Source organism: Homo sapiens, chromosome 7, assembly GCF_000001405.40.
Source record: "Homo sapiens chromosome 7, GRCh38.p14 Primary Assembly".
Lineage (NCBI taxonomy): Eukaryota > Metazoa > Chordata > Mammalia > Primates > Hominidae > Homo > Homo sapiens.
Window position 1 is genome coordinate 112,688,671 of NC_000007.14, and position 21,496 is coordinate 112,710,166.

General features: G+C 38.9%; 1 long non-coding RNA gene across 1 annotated transcript in view, besides 1 other annotated feature; it reads left to right on the top strand.

Annotated features, from left to right (window-relative positions):
- Nucleotides 1-19,402, top strand: part of LOC101928012 (uncharacterized) — an 85,692-nt gene extending 66,290 nt beyond the window's left edge. The window contains exons 6-8 of the long non-coding RNA NR_110158.1: nucleotides 10,660-10,852; nucleotides 12,697-12,767; nucleotides 19,067-19,402. This is a non-coding gene — a long non-coding RNA (uncharacterized LOC101928012). The remainder of the gene's footprint in view (nucleotides 1-10,659; nucleotides 10,853-12,696; nucleotides 12,768-19,066) is intronic.
- Nucleotides 3,816-4,041: a silencer, noted in NCBI's record as "fragment chr7:112332541-112332766 (GRCh37/hg19 assembly coordinates)". NCBI's record gives its function as "represses an EF-1alpha promoter that drives an FKBP-Casp9 reporter gene in an ReSE screen in K562 erythroleukemia cells {active_cell/tissue: K562}" and the evidence as "EXISTENCE:reporter gene assay evidence [ECO:0000049][PMID:32094911]".
- Nucleotides 19,403-21,496: the final 2,094 nt, after the last annotated feature.

Genomic DNA, 21,496 nt, shown 5'->3' on the forward strand with positions numbered 1-21,496 from the left:
AGTGTCTTTGTGGTGTTCTCTGTGTTTCCTGAATTTGAATGTTGACTTGTCTCACCAGGTGGGGGAAATTCTCCTGGATAATATCCTGAAGAGTGTTTTCCAACTTGGTTCCATTCTCCCTGTCACTTTCAGGTACACCAATCAAATGTAGGTTTTGTCTTTTCACATACTCCCATATCTCTTGAAGACTTTGTTTGTTCCTTTTCTTTCTTTTTTCTCTAATCTTGTCCTCTCACTTTATTTCATTGAATTGATCTTCAATCTCTGATATCCTTTCTTCTGCTTGATCGAGTCAGTTATTGATACTTGTGTATGCTTCATGAATTTTCCTGCTTTGTTTTTCAGCTCCCTCGGGTCATTTATGTTCTCTAAACTGGTTATTCTAGTTAGCAATTTCTCTAACCTTTGTTCAAGGTTCTTAGCTTCCTTGCATTGGGTTAGAACATGCTCCTTTAGCTCAGAAGAGTTTATTACCCATCTTCTGAAGCCTACTTCTGCCAATTCATCAAACTCATTCTCCGTCCAGTTTTGTTCCCTTGCTGGTAAGGAACTGTGATCCTTCGGAGGAGAAGAAGCCTCCCGGTTTTTGGAATTTTCATCCTTTTTGCGCTGGTTTTTCCTCATCTTCATGGATTTATCCGTGGTCTTTGATGTTGGTGACCTGCAGATGGGGTTTCTGTGTGGACGTCCTTTTGTTGATGTTGATGCTATTCCTTTCTGTTTGTTAGTTTTCCTTCTAACAGTCAGGCCCCTTTGCTGCAGTTCTGCTGGAGTTTGCTGGAGGTCCACTCCAGACCCTGTTTTCCTGGGTATCACCAGCAGAGGCTGCAGAACAGCAAAGATTGCTGCCCGTTCCTTCCTCTGGAAGCTTCATCCCAGAGGGCACCCACCAGATGCCAGCCAGAGCTCTGCTGTATGAAGTGTCTGTCGACCCCTGCTGGGAGGTGTCTTCCTGTCAGGAGGCACAGGAGTCAGCGACCCACTTAAGGAGGCAGTATGTTCCTTAGCAGAGTTCAATTGCTGTGCTGGGAGATCTGCTGCTCTCTTCAGAGTCTGCAGGCAGGAATGTGTAAGTCTGCTGAAGCTGTGCCCACAGCCGCCTCTTCCCCCAGGTGCTCTGTCCCAGGGAGATGGGAGTTTTATCTATAAGCTCCTGACTGGGGCTGCTGCCTTTCTTTCAGAGATGACCTTCCCAGAGAGGAGGAATCTAGAGAGGCAGTCTGGCTACAGCAGCTTTGTGGAGGTGCAGTGGGATCTGCCCAGTTCAAACTTCCCTGCGGCTTTGTTTACACTGTGAGGGGAAAATTGCCTACTCAAGCCTCAGTAATGGCATGCCCCTTCCTCCACCAAGCTCAAGTGTCCCAAGTCAACTTCAGACTGCTCTGCTGGCAGCAAGAATTTCAAGCCAGTGGATCTTAGCTTGCTTGGCTCCATGGGGGTGGGATTTGCTGAGCTAGACCACTTCGCTCCCTGGCTTCAGCCCCCTTTCCAGGGGAGTGAATGGTTCTGAATCATTGGCATTTCAGGTGCCACTAGGATATGAAAAAAACTCGTGCAGCTAGCTCAGTGTCTGCCGAAATCACCACCCAGTTTTGTGCTTGAAACCCAGGTCCCTGGTGGTGTAGGCACCCAAGGGAATCTCCTGGTCTGTGGATTGTGAAGACCATGGGAAAAGTACAGTATCTGGGCCAGAACACACCGTTTCTCACGGCAGGGTCCCTCACAGCTTCCCTTGGGTAGGGGAGGGAGTTCCCCGACTCCTTGTGCTTCCTGGGTGAGGTGATGCCCCACTCTGCTTCAGCTCGCCCTCTGTGTGCTGTACCCACTGTCTAACCAGTCCCAATGAGATGACCTGGGTACCTCAGTTGGTAATGCAGAAATCAGCCACCTTCTGCGCTGATCTTGCTGGAAGCTACAGACTGGAGCTGTTCCTATTCAGCCATCTTGAACTGTCATTTTTCCTATTTCCTGTTTTCTTTGCAGAAATCTTTTAAAGCTGTTTATTTATTTTGTAAAGGTAAGTTTCATTAAAATTATAATCTGTAAACTCCTTTTTCTGGCACACATAACTATAATATATTCAACACACTGAAAGCTAAAAAAATGAGGATAAACACAACTATTACACCCTGCTCCCCAACCACGTTATAGAACATTTATTCTTCCTTTAAGATGTCTTCCTTCCATTTTGACAGACTCACATGTAGAAAGAATGGGGGCTCCAGAGTATCTCTGAATAATTAACACAAAAAGCCTAATGTATTATTTTTAAGAACAAAAATATGAAGAGATGTCTTTTCTTCTGCACACCCTCCCCCCAAATCATCTTATGCACGTCCTGGGAATGCACCCATCTTTGAAGACCTAGGAAAAAACCTCACAACCTGAGTGAGGGTTATTTTTAAAAGAGAATATTCTAAAAACCAATGTGGTGTGGCAATTTTTGTCTTTAAGGGGAGGATTTACTAATTTGTCAAAGAAGTTATAGTTCATCAGCTTTATATAGTGTTTACTATGTACCAGGCACTATTTTAAACACTTTATAAATATTAGCTCAATTAGTCCTCATAATAACCCTTGGGATAAGTACAATTATTTTTTCATTTTACTTTGGAGGGAACTGAGGCATGGAACTAAGAGACTGTCTGGCTCTTAACCAGTGCACTCAGTTGTCTCTGCCTAGTTAACAATTATTAGAAAAATGTAACCCAAGTTTGGAATGAAATAGCAAATCAAGTCCCAAGCCTCTTTCCCCGTTCTCTCCCCGACCACCCCAAAGCCAGAGTCATTTCATGCTTCATTCTAGGTATTTAGTCCTGCCACAGATCGTTTTATTTTTTCAAAATAAGTCTGTTCTAAGGAGTGGCCTGGAAATACAAGTGGAATTACACTATTATTTTATTCTGATTACAATAATATTTGTTCTGGTTAGAATAAACTATTCTCTTAGGAAAGACAGGGTTAGGAGACAGGAAGTTATCACAGATGAAGGAAAATGAGGTCCTGTGCACCTAGGGAATGATTAGAAAAAAATTAAAAAAGGAGGAAGGAAACCAAGTATGCTTTAGAAGGAAAACAAACTGGGCTTAACACAGTTCCTATGTGTTTGGGGTTGTAGGGAGAAGGCAAAGAATAGTGAAATAACACAGATGAAAAAGAAGAATCGGTCAAAATTAGGAGAGTGAGAAGACATATAGGTTTTTAAATTTAATTGACTTTTTGATCTTTTAAAAAAAATTTTCAGCCTTTTTATCATAGAAAACTTTAAACAAATGCCTAAGTAGAAAAAAGTATGTGCATGAACCTGTAGGTAGGCACTACCAGCTTCATGTCTAGTCTTACGGCATTTATAACCCCCCCTCCCTTTTCTGCCATGTTACTGTGAAGAAAACTCTCAGACATCACATCTTTCATCCATAAATATTTTAGCATGTATCTCAAGAAAAATGGACTTTTAAAAACCATAACTTAATACCATTATCACACCTAAACAAATTGAACTATAATTCTATGTAGTGTTCAAATTTTCCTGTTTGTATTACAATTTTTTCCAGCTTGTTTGAATCAGGTTCAACATGTAATCTACAAGGCTGATATGTCTCTTAAATCTATTTGAATCTGTAGGTTTCCCTTTTATTTCCCTCTTGCTTTTTAAAAATTTCAATTTGTTTGTTGAAAATATGTGGGTATTAGGGAGAAATGATTAATTTGGTGTTGCTCATGGTGTGTGGATGGTGCCAGTCATGCACCCAAGTGGAGCTACTTAGAGAGCAGTTGATAACGTGGGTCAGCAGCTTAGGTCAAAGCAAATTATATTGATTTGGTAAATATTTGAACAGAGGTTTTTATTGAAGCCATTAGAGCAGTTAAGGTCACCAACTGAGAGACCACAGGGTGAAGAGTAGGTCAAGAGCTGAGCTGTGAGAGGAGAGCCAAGAATAGGCATGGCCAGAGCAAAGAGTGGGAACTGCTTCAGGAAAATGTCAGCAGTGCCAGTCTCGGTTTTTTCTTGTTGTTTTTTTATTCATGGAGAATGGGGTATCTATACCCTCAAACATTTATCTTTTTAGTTAAAAACAATCCAATAACACTCTTAAAGTTACTTAACAATGTACAATTAAGTTATTATTGACTATTGTCATCCTCTTATGCTATCAAATAGTAGGTCTTATTCATTCTACTTTTTGTACCCATTAACCATCCCCACCTCCCCCCCATACTCCCCACTACCTTTCCCAGCCTCTGGTAACCATCCTTCTATTCTCTGTCCATGAGTTCAATTGTTTTAATTTTTAGATCCCACAAATAATTGAGAACATGTGATATTTGTATTTCTGTGCCTGGCTTAATTCACTTAATGATCCCCAGTTTCATCTATGTTGTTGCAAATGACCGGATCTCATTCTTTTTTATGGCTGAATAGTACTCCATTGTTTATATGTACCACGTTTTCTTTATCCTTTCATCTGTTGATGGACACTTAGGTTACTTCCAAATCTTAGCTATTGTGAACAGTGCTGACACAAATGGGAGTGCAGATATCTCTTTGATATACTGATTTCCTTTCTTTTGGATATACACCAAGGAGTGGGATTGCTGGATCATATGGTAGCTCAATTTTTAGTTTTTTGAGGAACCTCCAAACTATTCTCCATAGTCGTTGTACTAATTTACATTTCCACTGACATTGTACAAGGGTTCCTTTTTCTTCACATCCTATCCAGCATTTGTTATTGCCTCTCTTTTGGATAAAAGCCATTTTAACCGGGGTGAAATGAAATCTTATTTTAGTTTTGATTTGCATGTCTCTGTGATCAGTGATGTTGAGCACCTTTCCATATGCCTGCTTGCCATTTATGTCTTCTTTTGAGAAATATCTATTCAAATCTTTTGCCCATGTTTTGATCAGATTATTAAATATTTTTTCCTGTAGAGTTGTTTGAGCTCTTTACATATTCTGGTTATTAATTCCTTGTCAGATGGGTAGTTTGCAAATATTTCTTGCATTCTGTGAGTTGTCTCCTCATTTTGTTGACTGTTTCCTTTGCTGTGCAGAAGCTTTTTAACTTGATGTGATCCCATTTGTCCATTTTTGCTTTGGTTGCCTGTGCTTGTGGGGTATTGCTCAAGAATTCTTTGCCCAGACCAGTGTCCTAGAGATTTTCCCCAATGTTTTCTTGTAGTAGTTTCATAGTTTGAGGTCTTAGATTTAAGTCTTTAATCCATTTTTATTAATATTTGTATATGGTGAGAGATAGGGGTCTAGTTTCATTCTTCTGCATATGGATATCCAGTTTTCCTAGCATCATTCATGGAAGAGACTGTCTTTTCCCCAGCGTATGTTCTTGGCACCTTTTCAAAAATGAGTTCACTGTAGGTGTGTGGATTTGTTTCTGGGTTCTCTATTCTGTTCCATTGGCCTATGTGTCTGTTTTTATGCCAGTACAATGCTGTTTTGGTTACTGTAGCTCTGTAGTATAATTTGAAATCAGGTAACATGATTCCTCCAGTTTTGTTTATTTGCTGAGGATAGCTTTGGCTATTCTGGGTCTTTTGTAGTTCTATATAAATTTTAGGATTGTTTTTTCCATTTCTGTGAAGACTGTCATTGGTATTTTGATAGTAATTGCATTGAATCTGTAGATTGCATTGGGTAGTATGGACATTTTAAAAATATTCATTCTTCCAATCCATTAACATGAAATATTTTTCCATTTTCTGGTATCCTCTTCAATTTTTTTCATCACTGTTTCATAGAGCTCTTTCACTTCTTTGATTAATTCCCAGGTATTTAATTTTATGTGTGGCTACTGCAAATGGAGTTACTTTTTTTTCTTTTTCACATTGTTCACTGTTGGCATATACAAATGCTACTGATTTTTGTATGTTGGTTTTGTATTCTGCAGTTTTACTGAATATATCAGTTCTAATAATTTTCTTGTGGAGTCTTTAGGTTTTTCCAAAAATAAGATCATATCATCTGCAAACAAGGATAATTTGACTTCTTCCTTTCCAGCTTGGATGCCTCTCTTGTCTGAGTGCTCTAGTTAGGACTTCCAGTGCTATGTTAAATAATAGTGGTGACAGTGGGCATCCATGTCATGTTGCAAATCTTAGAGGAAAGACTTTCAATTTTTCTCTATTCAGTATGATATTATATGTGGGTCTGTTGTATATAGTTATTACGTTGAGGTATTTTCCTTCTATACTGTTTTTTTTGGGGGGGGAGAGGGGGATTTATCATGAAGGAATGTTGAATTTTATCAAATGTTTTTTCAGCATCAATTGAAATGATCATATGGTTTTTATCCTTCATTCTGTTAATATGCTATAACACATTGATTAATTTGCCTATGTTGAACCATCCTTGCTTCTCAGGGATAAATCCCTCTTGGTCATGATGAGTGATCTTTCTAATGTATTGTTGAATTCAGTTTTCTGGTATTTTGCTGAGAATTTTTGCATCAATATTCTTCAGAGATATTAGCCTATTCTTTTTTGACGTGTCTTTGTCTGGTTTTGGTATCAAGGTAATACTGGCCTTCTAGAGTGAGTTTGGAAGTATTTCTCCTACTCTATTTTTCTGAAAAATCATTTTTCAGAATAGTTTGAGTAGAATTGGTATTAATTCTCCATTAAATGTTTGGTAGAATTTAGCAGAGGAGCCATCAGGTCCTGGGCTTTTCTTTACTGGGAGACTTTTTATTATGGCTTCAATCATGTTACTTGTTATCAGTCTATTGAGGTTTTGGATTTCTTCTTGGTTCACTTTTCATAGGTTGTATGTATCTAGGAATTTGCCCATTTCTCCTGGAGTTTCCAATTTATTAGCATATAGTTGTGTATAGTACCCACTAATGATTCTTTGAACTTTTGCGATACCAGCTGTAATGTCTCATTTTTCATTTCTGATTTTATTTGTTTGTATCATCTCTCTTTTTTTCTTAATTAGTCTGGCTAAAAGTTTGTCAATTTTGTTAAACTTTTCAAAACATCTTTTTGTTTCATTGATCTTTTGTATTTTTTATTTCAATTTCATTTGTTTTTTCTCACATCTTTATTATTTATTTTTTTGTACTAATTTTAGGTTTGGTTTGCTCTTGCTTTTCTTGATCTTTAAGATGTATCGTTCGGTGTTCATTTGAAGTTTTTTTTCTGTTTTTTTAATGTAGGCACTTATAGCTATAAAATTCCCTCTTGGTACAGGTTTTACTGTATCCTGTAGATTTTGGTATGTTACGTTTCCATTATCATTTAAATGATAAATGAAAAGGAAATTTTTCAATTTCCTTTTTAATTCCTTCATTAACCCACTGGTTATTCTGGAGCATATTGTTTAATTTCCATGTATTTGTATAGTTTCCAAAAGCCTTCTGGTTATTGATTTCTAGTTTTATTCCATTGTGGTCAGAGAAGATGCTTGATATTATTTCAGGTTTTTTTTGAATGTTTTAAGACTTGTTTTCTGATCTAAATTATAGTCTATCTTTGAGAATGATCCATGTGCTGAGGAAAAGAATGTGTATTCTGCAGTTCTTGGATGAAATGCTCTGTATATATCTATTAGATCCATTTGGTCTATAATGCAGATTTCATCTGATGTTTCTTTGTTGAATTTCTGTCTGGACGATCTTTCCAATGCTGAAAGTGGGGTGTTGAAGTCTCCAGCTATTATTGTATTGGGGTATCTCTTTTTATCTCTAATAATATTGTCTTTATGTATCTGGGTGCTCCAGCATTGGGTGGATATATATTTAAAACTGTTATATCCTCTTGCTTAATTGACCCCTTTATCATTATATAGTGACCTTCTTTGTCTCTTATAGTTTTTTTTTATATGTGCTGAAATATGGATTTATTTATAACCTCATTAGAGACTAAATCATGGCAACACGTTACAGTTCAATATTTTTGTCTAAATTCTTGTTGAGCCACATCCATCTGTATATGTAATACTGAGTTGCCAACAGCTTTTTTTTTTTTTTTTTTTTTAGTATTTATTGATCATTCTTGGGTGTTTCTCTAGGAGGGGGATTTGGCAGGGTCACAGGACAATAGTGGAGGGAAGGTCAGCAGATAAACAAGTGAACAAGGGTCTCTGGTTTTCCCAGGCAGAGGACCCTGCCGCCTTCCGCAGTGTTTGTGTCCCTCGATACTTGAGATTAGGGAGTGGTTGATGACTCTTAACGAGCATGCTGCCTTCAAGCATCTGTTTAACAAAGCACATCTTGCACCGCCCTTAATCCATTTAACCCTGAGTGGACACAGCTCATGTTGCAGAGAGCACGGGGTTGGGGGTAAGGTTATAGATTAAAGCATCCCAAGGCAGAAGAATTTTTCTTAGTACAGAACAAAATGGAATCTCCTATGTCTACTTCTTCTACACAGACACAGCAACAATCTGATTTCTCTATCTTTTCCCCACATTTCCCCCTTTTCTATTCGACAAAACCACCATCATCATCATGGCCCATCCTCAATGAGTTGTTGGGTACACCTCCCAGACGGGGTGGTGGCCAGGCAGAGGGGCTCCTCACTTCCCAGAAGGGGCAGCTGGGCAGAGGCGCCCCCCACCTCCTGGACGGGGTGGCGGCCGGGCGGAGGCACCCCCCACCTCCCTCCCGGACAGGGCGGCTGGCCGGGCGGGGGCTGCCCCCTGCCTCCCTCCCGGATGGGGCGGCTGGCTGGGCGGGGGCTGCCCCCCGCCTCCCTCCCGGACAGGGCGGCTGCCGGGCGGAGGGGCTCCTCACTTCCCAGACGGGGCGGCAGGGCAGAGGCGCTCCCCACATCTCAGACTATGGGCGGCCGGGCAGAGACGCTCCTCACTTCCCAGACGGGATGGCGGTCGGGAAGAGGCGCTCCTCACTTCCCAGACTGGGCAGCCAGGCAGAGGGGCTCCTCACATCCCAGACGATGGGCAGCCAGGCGAGACGCTCTTCACTTCCCAGACAGGGTGGTGGCCGGGCAGAGGCTGCAATCTCAGCACTTTGGGAGGCCAAGGCAGGCGGCTGGAAGGTGGAGGTTGTAGCCAGCCAAGATCACGCCACTGCACTCCATCCTGGGCAACATTGAGCACTGAGTGAACGAGACTCCGTCTGCAATCCCGGCACCTCGAGAGGCCAAGGCTGGCAGATCACTCGCAGTTAGGAGCTGGAGACCAGCCCGGCCAACACAGCGAAACCCCGTCTCCACCAGAAAAATATGAAAACCAGTCAGGCGTGGCAGCGCGCGCCTGCAATCCCAGGCACTGGGCAGGCTGAGGCAGGAGAATCCGGCAGGGAGGTTGCAGTGAGCGGAGATGGCGGCAGTACAGTCCAGCTTCCGCTTGGCATCAGAGGGAGACCGTGGAGAGAGAGGGAGAGGGAGACCGTGGGAAGAGGGAGAGGGAGGGGGAGGAGGAGGGGAGGGGGGGTGAGGGAGAGGGAGAGGGAGACTCTTACAGTTTTTGTCTTAAAATCTATTTTGTTTGATATAAGTATATAGCTACCCTACTCTTTTTTGGTTTACATTGGCATGGAATACCTTTTTCCATCCCTTTATTTTCAGTCTGTGTTTGTTCTTATGGGTAAAGTGTGTTTCTTGTAGAAAACAGATCAATGAGTCTTGTTTTTTCATCCATTCAGCCTTTTGATTGGAGAGTTTAGTCCATTTAAATTCAATGTTATTATTAATAAGTAAGAATTTACTCCTGGCATTTTTCTGTTTGTTTTTCTGATTGTATTGTGGTCTTCTTTCTTTCTTTCATTCCTGTCTTGCTTTAGTGAAGGTGATTTTTTCTGATAATATGATTTAGTTTTTTGCTTTTAATTTTTGTGTATCTATTGTTATGTTTTTTGGTTTGAGGTTACCATGAGGCTTGCAAATACTATCTTACAACCAATTATTTAAACCTGATAACAACTTAACACTGTTCACATAAACAAACAAGTAAAAGGAAAACTTATAAAAACTCTGCCCTGAGCTTCATCCCAACCCCCCAGCTTTTTAACTATCTGTTTTTTTCTATTTATATCATATTGTACTATGTCTTGGAAAGTTGTAGTTATTATTTTTGATTGGTTCATTTTTTAGTCTTTCTACTTATGATAAGTTTACACACTACAGTTACAGTGTTATAATATTCTGTGTTTTTCTGTGTATTTACCATTACCAGTGAGTTTTGTAGTTTCAGGTGATTACTTATTGCTCATTAATGTCCTTTTCCTTCTGATTGGGGTACTCCCTTTAGCATTTCTTATAGGGCAGGTCTGATATTGATGAAATCCCCCAGCTTTTGTTTATCTGGGAAAATCTTTATTTCATCTTCATGTTTGAAGAATATTTTCACCAGATATACTATTCTAGGGTAAAGTTTTTTCCTTCAGCACTTTGAATACATCATGCTATTCTCTCCTGGCCTATAAATTTTCCACTGAAAAGTTTGTTGCCAGGCATATTGGACCTTCATTATATATTACTTGTTTCTTTTCTCTTGCTGCTTTTACATGCAAGAGACCTTTGGGCGTTTGATTATTAAATGCCTTGAAGTAGTCTTTTTTGGGTTAAATCTGCTTGATGTAATATAACCTCCTTGTACTTGGATATTGATAACTTTCTTTGGGTTTGGGGAGTTCTCTGTTGTTATTCCTTTGAATAAACTTTCTCTTTTTTCTTTTTGAGACGGAGTCTTACTCTGTCGCCCAGGCAGGAGTGCAATGGCACAATCTTGGCTCACCACAACCTCCGCCTCCTGGGTTCAAGTGACTCTCCTGCCTGGCCATAGAAGCAAACACAAACATAGAGGAATTGGCTTTGGGCAGATGGAAGGACCTCAGAGAAAAGAAACAAAGGAAAGAAAACTGGATGGATAAAGGTACAAAGAAATTTGGAGTAGAGCTGAATTGCATCCCCCTCAAATTCATATGTTAAAATTCTGATCCTCAATACCTCAGAATGTGACTGTTTCTGAAGACAGGGCCTTTAAAGATGTAATTAAGGTAAAAAAGTCATATCGGTGGGCCCTAATACAACATTAAGGATGTCCCTATAAGAAGAGGAGATTAGAACACAGGCATGCACAGAGAGATGACATGTGGAGACACAAGGAAAAATGACCATCTCGTCAAGGTGAAAAGCCTTTTGAAGAAACCAACCCTGCCAAAGGTTAAAATTCCCTGTGGAATTTTAAGCTTCACAGATATGAGGAAGTAAATTTCTGTTGCTTAAACTGCCCAAGCTGTGGCACTTTGTTATGACAACCCTATCAGACTAATACAAATACCCTCTTGTGAAAGTCACCTTCACCCTTCAGACATCAAAATATGGCTCCTACCATCAGTGGCCACTGCAGGAGCATAAGCAGTCATGACCTCAGGGGCCACTCTGGCGGAGAGCTTACCAAATTATCATTAGAGACTTTCAAATTTACCAGATTATTATCAAGCATTTTAGGGGGCATTGTTTAATCCTAACATGTAATCCCTAAAATCTAGCCATCTACCTTTTAATTTTCTTTCTGTGAACCTAATTCTTGAGGTTCACAGTTTTCCTCCACGTAGTCTCCTTACTCTCCTCAGGCTACACTTTTTTTTTTTTTGAAAGGATCATTTGATAAGGAATGAAAGCAAGATAGGGGAAGCATTTGGAGAATTGATTGCACTGCACAAATGCATTGATATGCTGGCTTGGGCGAGGTGATTATGTGCATTTATCATTTGTGTGATTATCTTAAAAGGAGCTCTTAAATAAGATAAAATAATTTGCTGAACTTCAAAGGCAGGAATTAGGATTAGAGAAACTAAAAAGCAATGGATCTTGGTTGTGTTACCTTCTGTTGTTTCTCTTAAATGAAATTTGTCCTCTGGTCCATGGACACATTCCAGTTGAGACTGGTAACCAGACTGCAATAGGATCTTTATGGCTCCCTGTCGGACATATCATCAAATGTTTAATATGCATAACTACTTCACTTTGGTGGCTTGTTCCCCTATACTTGCCTTACGCTGAAGACTTTAGTTGGTGACCACCCTTGAATGCCAGAAGCAGCAGGTTATTTATTGTTAAACATACACATACATGTATCGATTGGACTCTGACTACTTGGAAATTTAGAGATAAGACACTTTAAATACTAAGGGTACAAACAATACTGCAGGGACACAGAAGTTCTCTTCCTCTTGGTTGGTAAAGCAACTTGGAGAGTAGGGCGGACTCCCAGGTAAGGACCATCAAGTAGAGAAAACCTGGGAAGAGCTTGGCCTCGGAAAGCTGGGGACCCCATGGAAAAACAAACATTAGTCTAGCATGAGCATATCATGTCTTCTTGACTCCCAAGGTTACCCTAAGACAGCATGAAGATCTCTTGGTCAGACAGGGGTCTAGCAAAGCTCTGTGTCACCAGAGATATTTAAGCGTTTTCTTGACTAGTGAATCCCAAATCTTGTAAATTGTCTCACTCAGATTAGTTGCCTGCTAGATAAAGCAGAATATTATCCTCCAGATAGATATAAAGAGTAATGAATAGACAGACTGATACACCCCTTGGATATGGTTAGAGAAGCTGGGAATAATTTAGATTTGTATGTCCCCTGAGCAAACTCATTTTAAAAGGAGACAAAAACCAACTATTGCTTAACTCTGCTATTCTTCACATCTTTATGCTGTACTTGACTGACTCTGACTTTAGTTTATTGATATCATTTTGTTTTATTTTAAAAGGTTTGTAGAAATACTATTCACAGGAAGCAAATAGGAATTCCTTATCGCTAAACAGACACTAAGTCAATTGGGTAAGTCATGGAAAAAATATGTGGGCAATATGGCATAGAGGAGGCCATGTTAGTCTAGCCAAAGTAACTTCACATGGAATCAGGAGGAATGTGAATAGTGCTACCTCCTCACACCTTTCAACCTGACAGTCTGGCTATTCTATTTAGGCTGCCTCTGGTCATTGTGGGGGAAGGGCAAGACATGCTGAAAAGGGCGTGCCACAATTGATCTTTGGGTGTGAGACTCATTTCCTGGAGGGGTGATAGGCAGTAATACTAGCAGTAAAACAGTAAAACTTACTGGGGCACCGCCTTGTCTCACTGATACTGGAGGGATAGTTGTATTTCAGTCTATAGGAAGATATCACTCATCAACTTCAAAAAAACAAACAGGGTCAGGTGCAGCGGCTCATGCCTGTAATCCCAGCACTTTGGGAGGCAAAAGCAGGAGAATTGCTTGAGGCCAGGAGTTCGAGGCTGTAGTGAGCTATGATTGTACGACCGCACTCCAGCCTGGGTGACAGAACAGACCCTGTTTCTAAAACAAAACAAAACAAAACAAAACAAAACAAAACAGAAAAACCCCAAAAGACTTCCCCAGCTAGGAGACACACACTGTTCAGCAAGAGGAAGCAGAGGAGGGGGCAGTGTTCCACCTGCAGAGACCCATTTGGCCACTCTAAAATTAGCCCCATGATTTCCTTTCATTCTTTGTGTCCTATGATCCTGAACTTGAAGTTTCTCTGAAACTATCACTATAGCTGCAGCAATCTACTGTTTGGGGCTTATTTTGGGCTGTCATTTCCTATATTTTCCCAGAGATCTTATCCTGCCTGCTTTTTACTTTTCAGGTATTTCTCAAATGTTCTTATCCTCTTTTTTTATTTTCTAGTGCTGGTAATAATGTATTACTTTTAGAATTTTTTTCTCTCTTAGTGGTTGGAAGAGATAAGGAAATTTTCCTTCTTGGTTCAACTGAAGATAAAAATTTATTTTGAAAAGAGAATCATAGTTTTCAGGAAGAAAGCCTAACTATATCCACTGATGATAAACTCTCTCATCTTACCCATCAGTGCTAAGTATTTAAATGACTACACAGATCTTTTTTAAAAATTATTTTCTAGGAAACCATATACCAAAGTCAAAAAGATCACAGTTAATACAACCTTTAGATTTATTTTAAAGTTGCATTATTCTAAGGAGGCTACCTAATTTATATAGAACTAAAATTCTTTCATGTTAAAGAAGAAGCGAAATTTACTTATAAAACAAAGGGGCTGGGTGCAGTGGCTCACGCCTGTAATCCCAGCACTTTAGGAGGCTGAGATGGCAGCCTCACTTGAGGTCAGATCACTTGAGGTCAAGAGTTAGAGACCAGCCTGGCCAACATGGCGAAAACTCGTCTGTACTAAAAATACAAAAATTAGCCGGGTGTGATGGTGGACACCTGTAATCCCGGCTACTCGGGAGGCTGAGGCAGGAGAATCTCTTGAACCCAGGAGGTGAAAGTTGCAGTGAGTGGAGATTGTGCCCCTGCACTGTAGCCTGGGCAATAGAATGAGACTTTTTCTCAAACAAACAAACAAACAAAACAAAGGGACTAGGATATCGAGTTTATTAAACAGATGCTTAAACAAATACTCATACATTTTCCTACCTATTTTTCTAGGCAGAAGATATTCCATATTACTTTGTAACCTGTTCCCCTATACTTGCCTTATGTTGAAGACTTTAGTTGGTGACCACCCTTGAATGCCAGAAATAGCAAGTTATTTATTGTTAAACATATACATGCATGTATCGATTGGACTCTATTCTGATTACTTGAAAATTTAGAAATAAGACACTTCAAATTCTGAGGGTACAAACAATAACACTGCAGGGGCACAGGAGTTTTCTTCCTCTTGGTCGGTAAAGCACCTTGGAGAGTAGGGCAGACTCCCAGGTAACGACCATGACGTAGAGAACCCTGGGAAGAGCTTGGCATCAGAAAAGAGTGAGTAATGAAAGGGGAAGGTCCTCTTATAAAAGCAGCAGATCTCATGATAGCTCATTCACTACCATGAGAACAGCATGGGGGAAACTGCCCCCTATGATTCAATCACCGCCAACCAGCTCTCTCCCTAGACAAATGGGGATTATGGGGATTACAATTCCAGATGATATTTCAGTGGGGACATAAAGCCTAACCATATCAGGGGTCTAATGGAAAAAGTATAAAAAAGTATACAATATGTAAGAATAGATAAGTAGTATAAGCAGAGAGATGGAAGCACTAAGAAAGAATAAAAAGAAAATGCTATAAATAGAAAACAGTATAAAAGAAATAAAGATGCCATTGATGGGTTCATCAGTAGACTGGATATCACCAAAGAAAGCTTGAAGATGTGTTCATAGAAACTTTTCAAACTGAAAATCAAGGAGAAAAAAAAGAATGAAAATAAAAGAATAGTATATTTGAGAACAATAATCCAGTAATTACAAAAGTTGTAATATATTTATAATGAGAATGCCAAAAGCAATACAAAGAAAAAAGAGTAGAAGAAATAGTTGGGGTAATTATGGCTGAGAATTTTCTAAAATTAATAACAGACACCAAATCATAGCTCTAGGAAGCTCAGAGAATACCAAGCAGGATAAATGCCAACTCCCCTGACCCTACAAAACCAGAAACCAAACCAAACCAGAACTATACTTAGGCATATGATATTCAAACTGTAGAATATTAAAGACAAAGAGAAAATCTTGAAAGAAGCCAGAGGGGAAAACACCTTACCTATAGAAGAAAAAAAATAGAATTACACAGATTTACCATCAGAAACCATTGCAAGCAAGAATAGAGTGGGGTGAAATTTTAAAGTTTTGGCATGGTGGGTGTGGAAGGAGGAGCCCCTACCAACCTACAGTTTTGTGTCTATTAAAATTATCCCTCAAAAGTGAAGGAGAAATGAAGACTTTCTCAGACTAACGAAAATGGCGGGAATTTGTTGCCAGTAGACTTACCTTGCAAGAAACCCTAAAAGAAGTTTTTTAGAAAGAAGGAAAATGACATAATTCAGAAACATGGATCTACAAGAAAGGAAGAGTATTAAAGAAGGTATAAATGAAACTAAAATCTTTTATTTTTCAAATTTTTAATTGATATAACCAATAACAGTTTGTTCAAAATAGTAATAGCAACAATGTATTTGGTAATTATAGCTTATGGATAAGTGAAATAGATGATAGCAGTGTTGGGACAAGAGGGGGAAATTGAGAATACTATGTTATAAGGTATTTGCACTACCCATGGAGCAGTATAGTGTTATTTTAAAGTGAACTTGGATTAACTGTATATGTATATTGCACACTCTAGGGCAACCCCTTAAACATTTTTTGAAAGAAGTACTACTGATATTCTATAAGAGGAGAGAAAAGGGAATCATATAAATTGCTCAATTAAAACCAAAGATGGCAGGAAAAAGAGCAGGAAATAGAAAAACAAAGAACAGGGTAACAAATAGAAAACACTAACAAATATGGTTGATATTAATCCAACTATATCAATAATCACTTTAAATTTCAATGGTCTAACTATACTGATTAAAAGACAAAGACTGTCAGAATGGATGAACAAACAAGATCCTACAGTATGTTGTCTACAGAAAACTCAGTCTAAGTTAAAAGGCTCATTTTAAAAGTAAAGGGATGGAGAAAAATATACCATGTTACACCAACCAAAGGAAGCTCTATCAGAAATGGACAGATCCAACAGGCAGAAAAGCAGTTAAGGATAAAATTGAACTGAACAGAGCCATCAATGAACTGGATCTAATTGACATATATAGATTGTTTCATTCAACAACAGCAGGATATACATTATTCCCAAGTTCACATGGAACAGTCACCAAGGCAGACCAAATTCTGGGCCATAAAAACAGTTAAACAAATTTAAAATAATAGAAATCATTCCTATATCCTCTTAGACCACCAAGAAATAAAGTAGAAATCGATAACAGAAAGAGCACTAGAAAATTCCTAAGTATTTGGAGATTAAACAATAGACTTCTAAATAAAACATGGATTTAAGTCTTAAGAGAAATTTGTTAATGTTTTGAACTGAATAAAAATGAAAATACAACTTGTCGAGATTTGTAGAATGCAGCAAAAGCAGTGCTTAGAGGGAATATTTTAGCATTGAATGCATTGAATCTATAATCAATAATATAAGCTTCCACCTCAAGAAACTAGAGGAAAAGCAATATAAACATAAAGCAAGCAGAAGAAAAGAAATAATAAAATTTGGAGCAGAAATTAATTAACTGGAACCAGGAAATCAATAGAGAAAGTCAACAAAACCAAAAGCTGGCTATTTGAAAAGATTAATAAAATTGATAAACCTCTAGCCAGAAACCAAGGAAAAAAGAGAAAATGCAAATTACTAATATCAGATATGAAAGAGGGGTAATAATTACTGATCACATGGACATGAAAAGAATCTATTTATCTGGTGGAACCCTAATGACATAGTTACATACATGTAAATTCATATATATGTAAAACATAAGGCATGAATGAATAATCATCAAAATCAATGTAAAGGTTGCCCTTGGGGAAGAATCTAGAATAGAGTTTCAACTTAGAAGTTGATTTTAGCCTTATACACTTTTTTTAAAACCAAGAGAAGGTATTCATATATTTCTTACGCAATGAAAAATATTTTTCAAAGAAAAGAGCAGTCAAAAACCTACATAATCATCTAATCAGCATTACACGAGGCAAAGGTAAGTGTCGTTAATAGAGGAATGCACACAACAAATAAAGGTGTGAGAGAAAAGCTTCCTATCATTTCTGATGGCACAATACACTTTCACCAAGGGCTTACAGTGCTTACCAGTAAGACAGCAGGATTAAAAAAAAAAAAGAAAAACAAAAATGGTGTCCACCCTCCTGTGAAGGAGATGTCACCATCAGTCCCATCCCTTGAGCACCTACTCTCATTCCTAAGAGCCAACATTTTATTGAGTAATCACCAAGTACCAAGACACTGTTCTTCATGTTTTAAAACATTTATTTGCCAGTCAGTCCTTATAGCAGGCACATGTGCATAGGCATTATTTTTATTATCCCTGTCCTGAAGAAAGAAACCAAGCATAGACAGCTTAGTAACTTGCTTATGGTCACCCAGCTAGAAGATGGGATTCAAACTCACTCTGCCTTGCTATTAATACTGCCTTGTTATCTTGTTTTGTCCTTACCAATACCTGGCCAAGTACTACCCATTCTTATTTAACATGTGAGGAAACTGAAACCTGAAGAGGTCATGGAAGTTCTGTGTGGCCACACCAATGGTAGACAGCAGAACCAGATTTCAAACCAGCTTTTTCTCCAGCATTATTCTTCATGAGAAGAATAATTAAACTTATTGTGTAATAAAGTGTGTTTTTAAGGTATAATGTCTTATTTTTTCCAGCTTTATTCAACTATAATAAATGTACAAATAGAGATGTATATAATTCGCATACACAATTTAGTGAGTTTGGGCATATGTATATACTTATGTTACCATCACCACAATTCAGTTAATAAACACATCCATCACCTCTAAAAGTTTCCTTGTGTCGCTTTGTGTGTTTTGTTTTGTTGTTTTGTGGTAAGAACACTTAACGTGAGATCTACTCTCAACAAATTTTTAAGTGCACAATACTCCATCGTTAACTGTAGGCACCATGTTGTATTGCAGATATCTGGAGCTTACTCACTTGTATAACTTTATATCCACTGAACTAGTCAATAGAATAGTGGTTACCAGGGGATGGGTGGAGGGGGATGTGAGGAGTTGTTGTTTAATAAAGTGTTATGGAGGCACTGATAGCAAATACCTCCTGGGTGATAATTTTGAGCCTCTTTGCCACTCTCTATTTCTTCTTTACCTTAGTCAGTTTCCTCCCAGTTTCCTTCCTTTTTCTTTTCTTGCTATATCTTTGCATAGATTTCCTCTTTATCCTCTTAATAGCTGCTTTCTCTATCAGCCTTTCTCCCTTTCCCTTCTCTCTGCCTGGCTTTCTTAACTCCACTGTCTCTGAATATTTATACCAAACTCCTAACTTAAAAAAACAAAATTCTTCATAGTTCTCGGTTTGAGAGAAGGGCAGGAGATGAAGCACTTGTGCTCTTGGTTAAATTCAGGTCTTTGACTGTTGATCAATTATTTTCTGAAAAGTTAATGTTTTCTTCTTGTTCATGTTCACAATTATTGTGGCTGCAGTGATTTTATATATGCATACGTGTATTCTTCTATATGACATTTACAAGTGTTGACAGAATATTGCCTTTTTCAGTAAAGATCTTGCCAGCTGGTGCCTGGGTGCATAGACTGCCTATGGCTCTTGAATTGCATGCTGAAAACTTCATAATGAAACCAGAAAATCACAGAAGCATAAACACAGCTGCTTATGCCTATAAAGTAAGTGGTTTACAAGGGAAAGCCTAATCAGTAGAATCGAGTGTTTAGTCAATTACATTAACAGTAGACAAATAGAAATCATATGTATTTGACAGGAGGCCATTTTAAGAAACTTTGTATTTGTATGCTGCAAACATAATGAGACACTTAAAAAGAAATGTCATCCATTATTCATGAATTTGAATAAAATACAGAGCTCTCTTGAAAAAAATCAGAAAATTAAAGTTCTTTTAAGAATGTGAAGGTTTTGATTTTAATAGCTCATTTTATTTTTTAAGTTGGTTTGGAGGTGCTTTTTCTATGATAAGTGATTTTTATGTGGTGACAAACAAAAAGATTTAATATATTTTAAATATGCCAGAGAGATTGTTTCAGAAAACCCTGTATGCTTGGGAATTTTCAAAGCTGTAAGAAACAAAATCTCTATTAGAACTTGAACTGGGCTGGGGGCAGGCCATAGAGAATAGTTAGAACCAGCAGGCTGTAGCAGGTAATTAAGGAAGTTCTCTCAATGGATCATCTGAGGTAATCAGTGCACAGGTGAACCATTCAGGGAATCTTGTAGCACACAAAGGTCAGAGGTCAATTCAGGAAGCTCAGAAGGCCCACTGCTGGCTCATTGGTGGAATTTCAGCCTTTGGGATTCCACAACACAAAAAGATCAGTGATGAAATTGAAAACGAACCAGGAAAGACCCTTGTGCTGGGACTGGAGTACAAAGATTCTGCTACTGGAACTGGGGCCATTTCCAGGACATCCAGACATGAGGTACAGTTGTGAAATCATTTGTTTCTTAAATTTTACTGATTAAGGACTGTTTTGAGAGCTTGAAGTGGGGCCAAGCTACACTGTCTTGCGATAAGGTCTGTGGGGGAGTAGGTGAAGCCAAATTGCTAATGAAATTTTACTAATCCAATATAATCGCAGTGGTGATAAATCAGTAAATGATAAATTTCCAGTGTGAACAACTAGCAGTTCCAAGTTTCACAAAGCGTTTCTAAAAGCATTTCTAAATTCTAGTTATTATGGGACTAGAAGTCCTTAGGGGCATTTTAATAAATAGATAAGATTCAGGGTTGTGTAATTAGCACATCAGCAGAGATCCCCAAACAACTGTGCATGGATCAGTAGCATTAGAATCACCTGGTGGACTGCAACTGGTCTAAGGAATCTGATCTGAGAGAAAAGCCAGAGAATCTGCATTTTCTGCAAGCTCCCTAGAGAGCCACTGACATTGATGACTGAACTTCCCTTTAGAGCCCTGTCCAATTTATTCCACAGATAGCATTTTTATTTTATTTTATTTTGAGATGGAGTCTTGCTCTGTCACCCAGGCTGGAGTGCAGTGGCGCAATCTCAGCTCACTGCAACCTCCATCTCCCAGGTTCAAGCTATTCTCCTGCCTCAGACTCCCGAGTAGCTGGTATTGCAGGCGCATGCCACTATACCTGGGTAATTTTTATATTTTTAGTAGAGATGCGGTTTCACCACGTTGGTCAGGCTGGTCTCAAACTCCTGACCTCAGGTGATCCACCTGCCTCGCCTCCCAAAGTGCTGGGATTGTAGGCATGAGCCACTATGACTGGCCCACAGACAGCATTTTAAGTGTTCCAAAGAATTTAAGGATTTGAAGTCTTTGTTCTCTCAAATAGTTAAGCATCCTTTCTTCCAATAGTATCATGTAAACGTGAGTAAATACAGCTTCTTGTATGCCATAATGTGTAACTGTAGCTCAGTGCTTCTCAGAATTATCAGGAATTCCAGTTTAATAAATCTGAATTAACTCTTAATTCCAGAAAACCATCTCCCTAAATCCCTCTACTTCATTACAATTCCATCATACTCCTCTGAACGTACCTTCTCGCAGAGAACAATGTCTTTGGAACAATCTCTGCTGAATTCCACTTATGCCCCACTGTCATTCCTTTCATGCTTGAGTGACTTTTGTCTGGTGTAGTCGAGATGTGAGAAAAAGCCTTGATCCAGATCATCAGAATGTAAGGACTCTACAACCAGTCAGATTATTATCCTCAGTACACAGATAAAGACACAAGGGGTGCATCAGACTTTGACACCTGAGTAGGGTTTCTGCCCCCAAATCTCTGGGCAACTCACTCTTTCTGGTTGGCAGTTGAAAATGGTTTCTAAGTTTGTTCATAAATCCTAGGCTATCTCAGAATCCTGGATGGGGAGTCAGGTGACCTGAAATCAGTACTAGCCAGCTGCGTGGCCTTAAGCAAATAGCTGCTCTGCTCTGGGCTCTATTTTCCTGTGTAGTGGTAGGAACAAAGGTTTGAATCCTTAC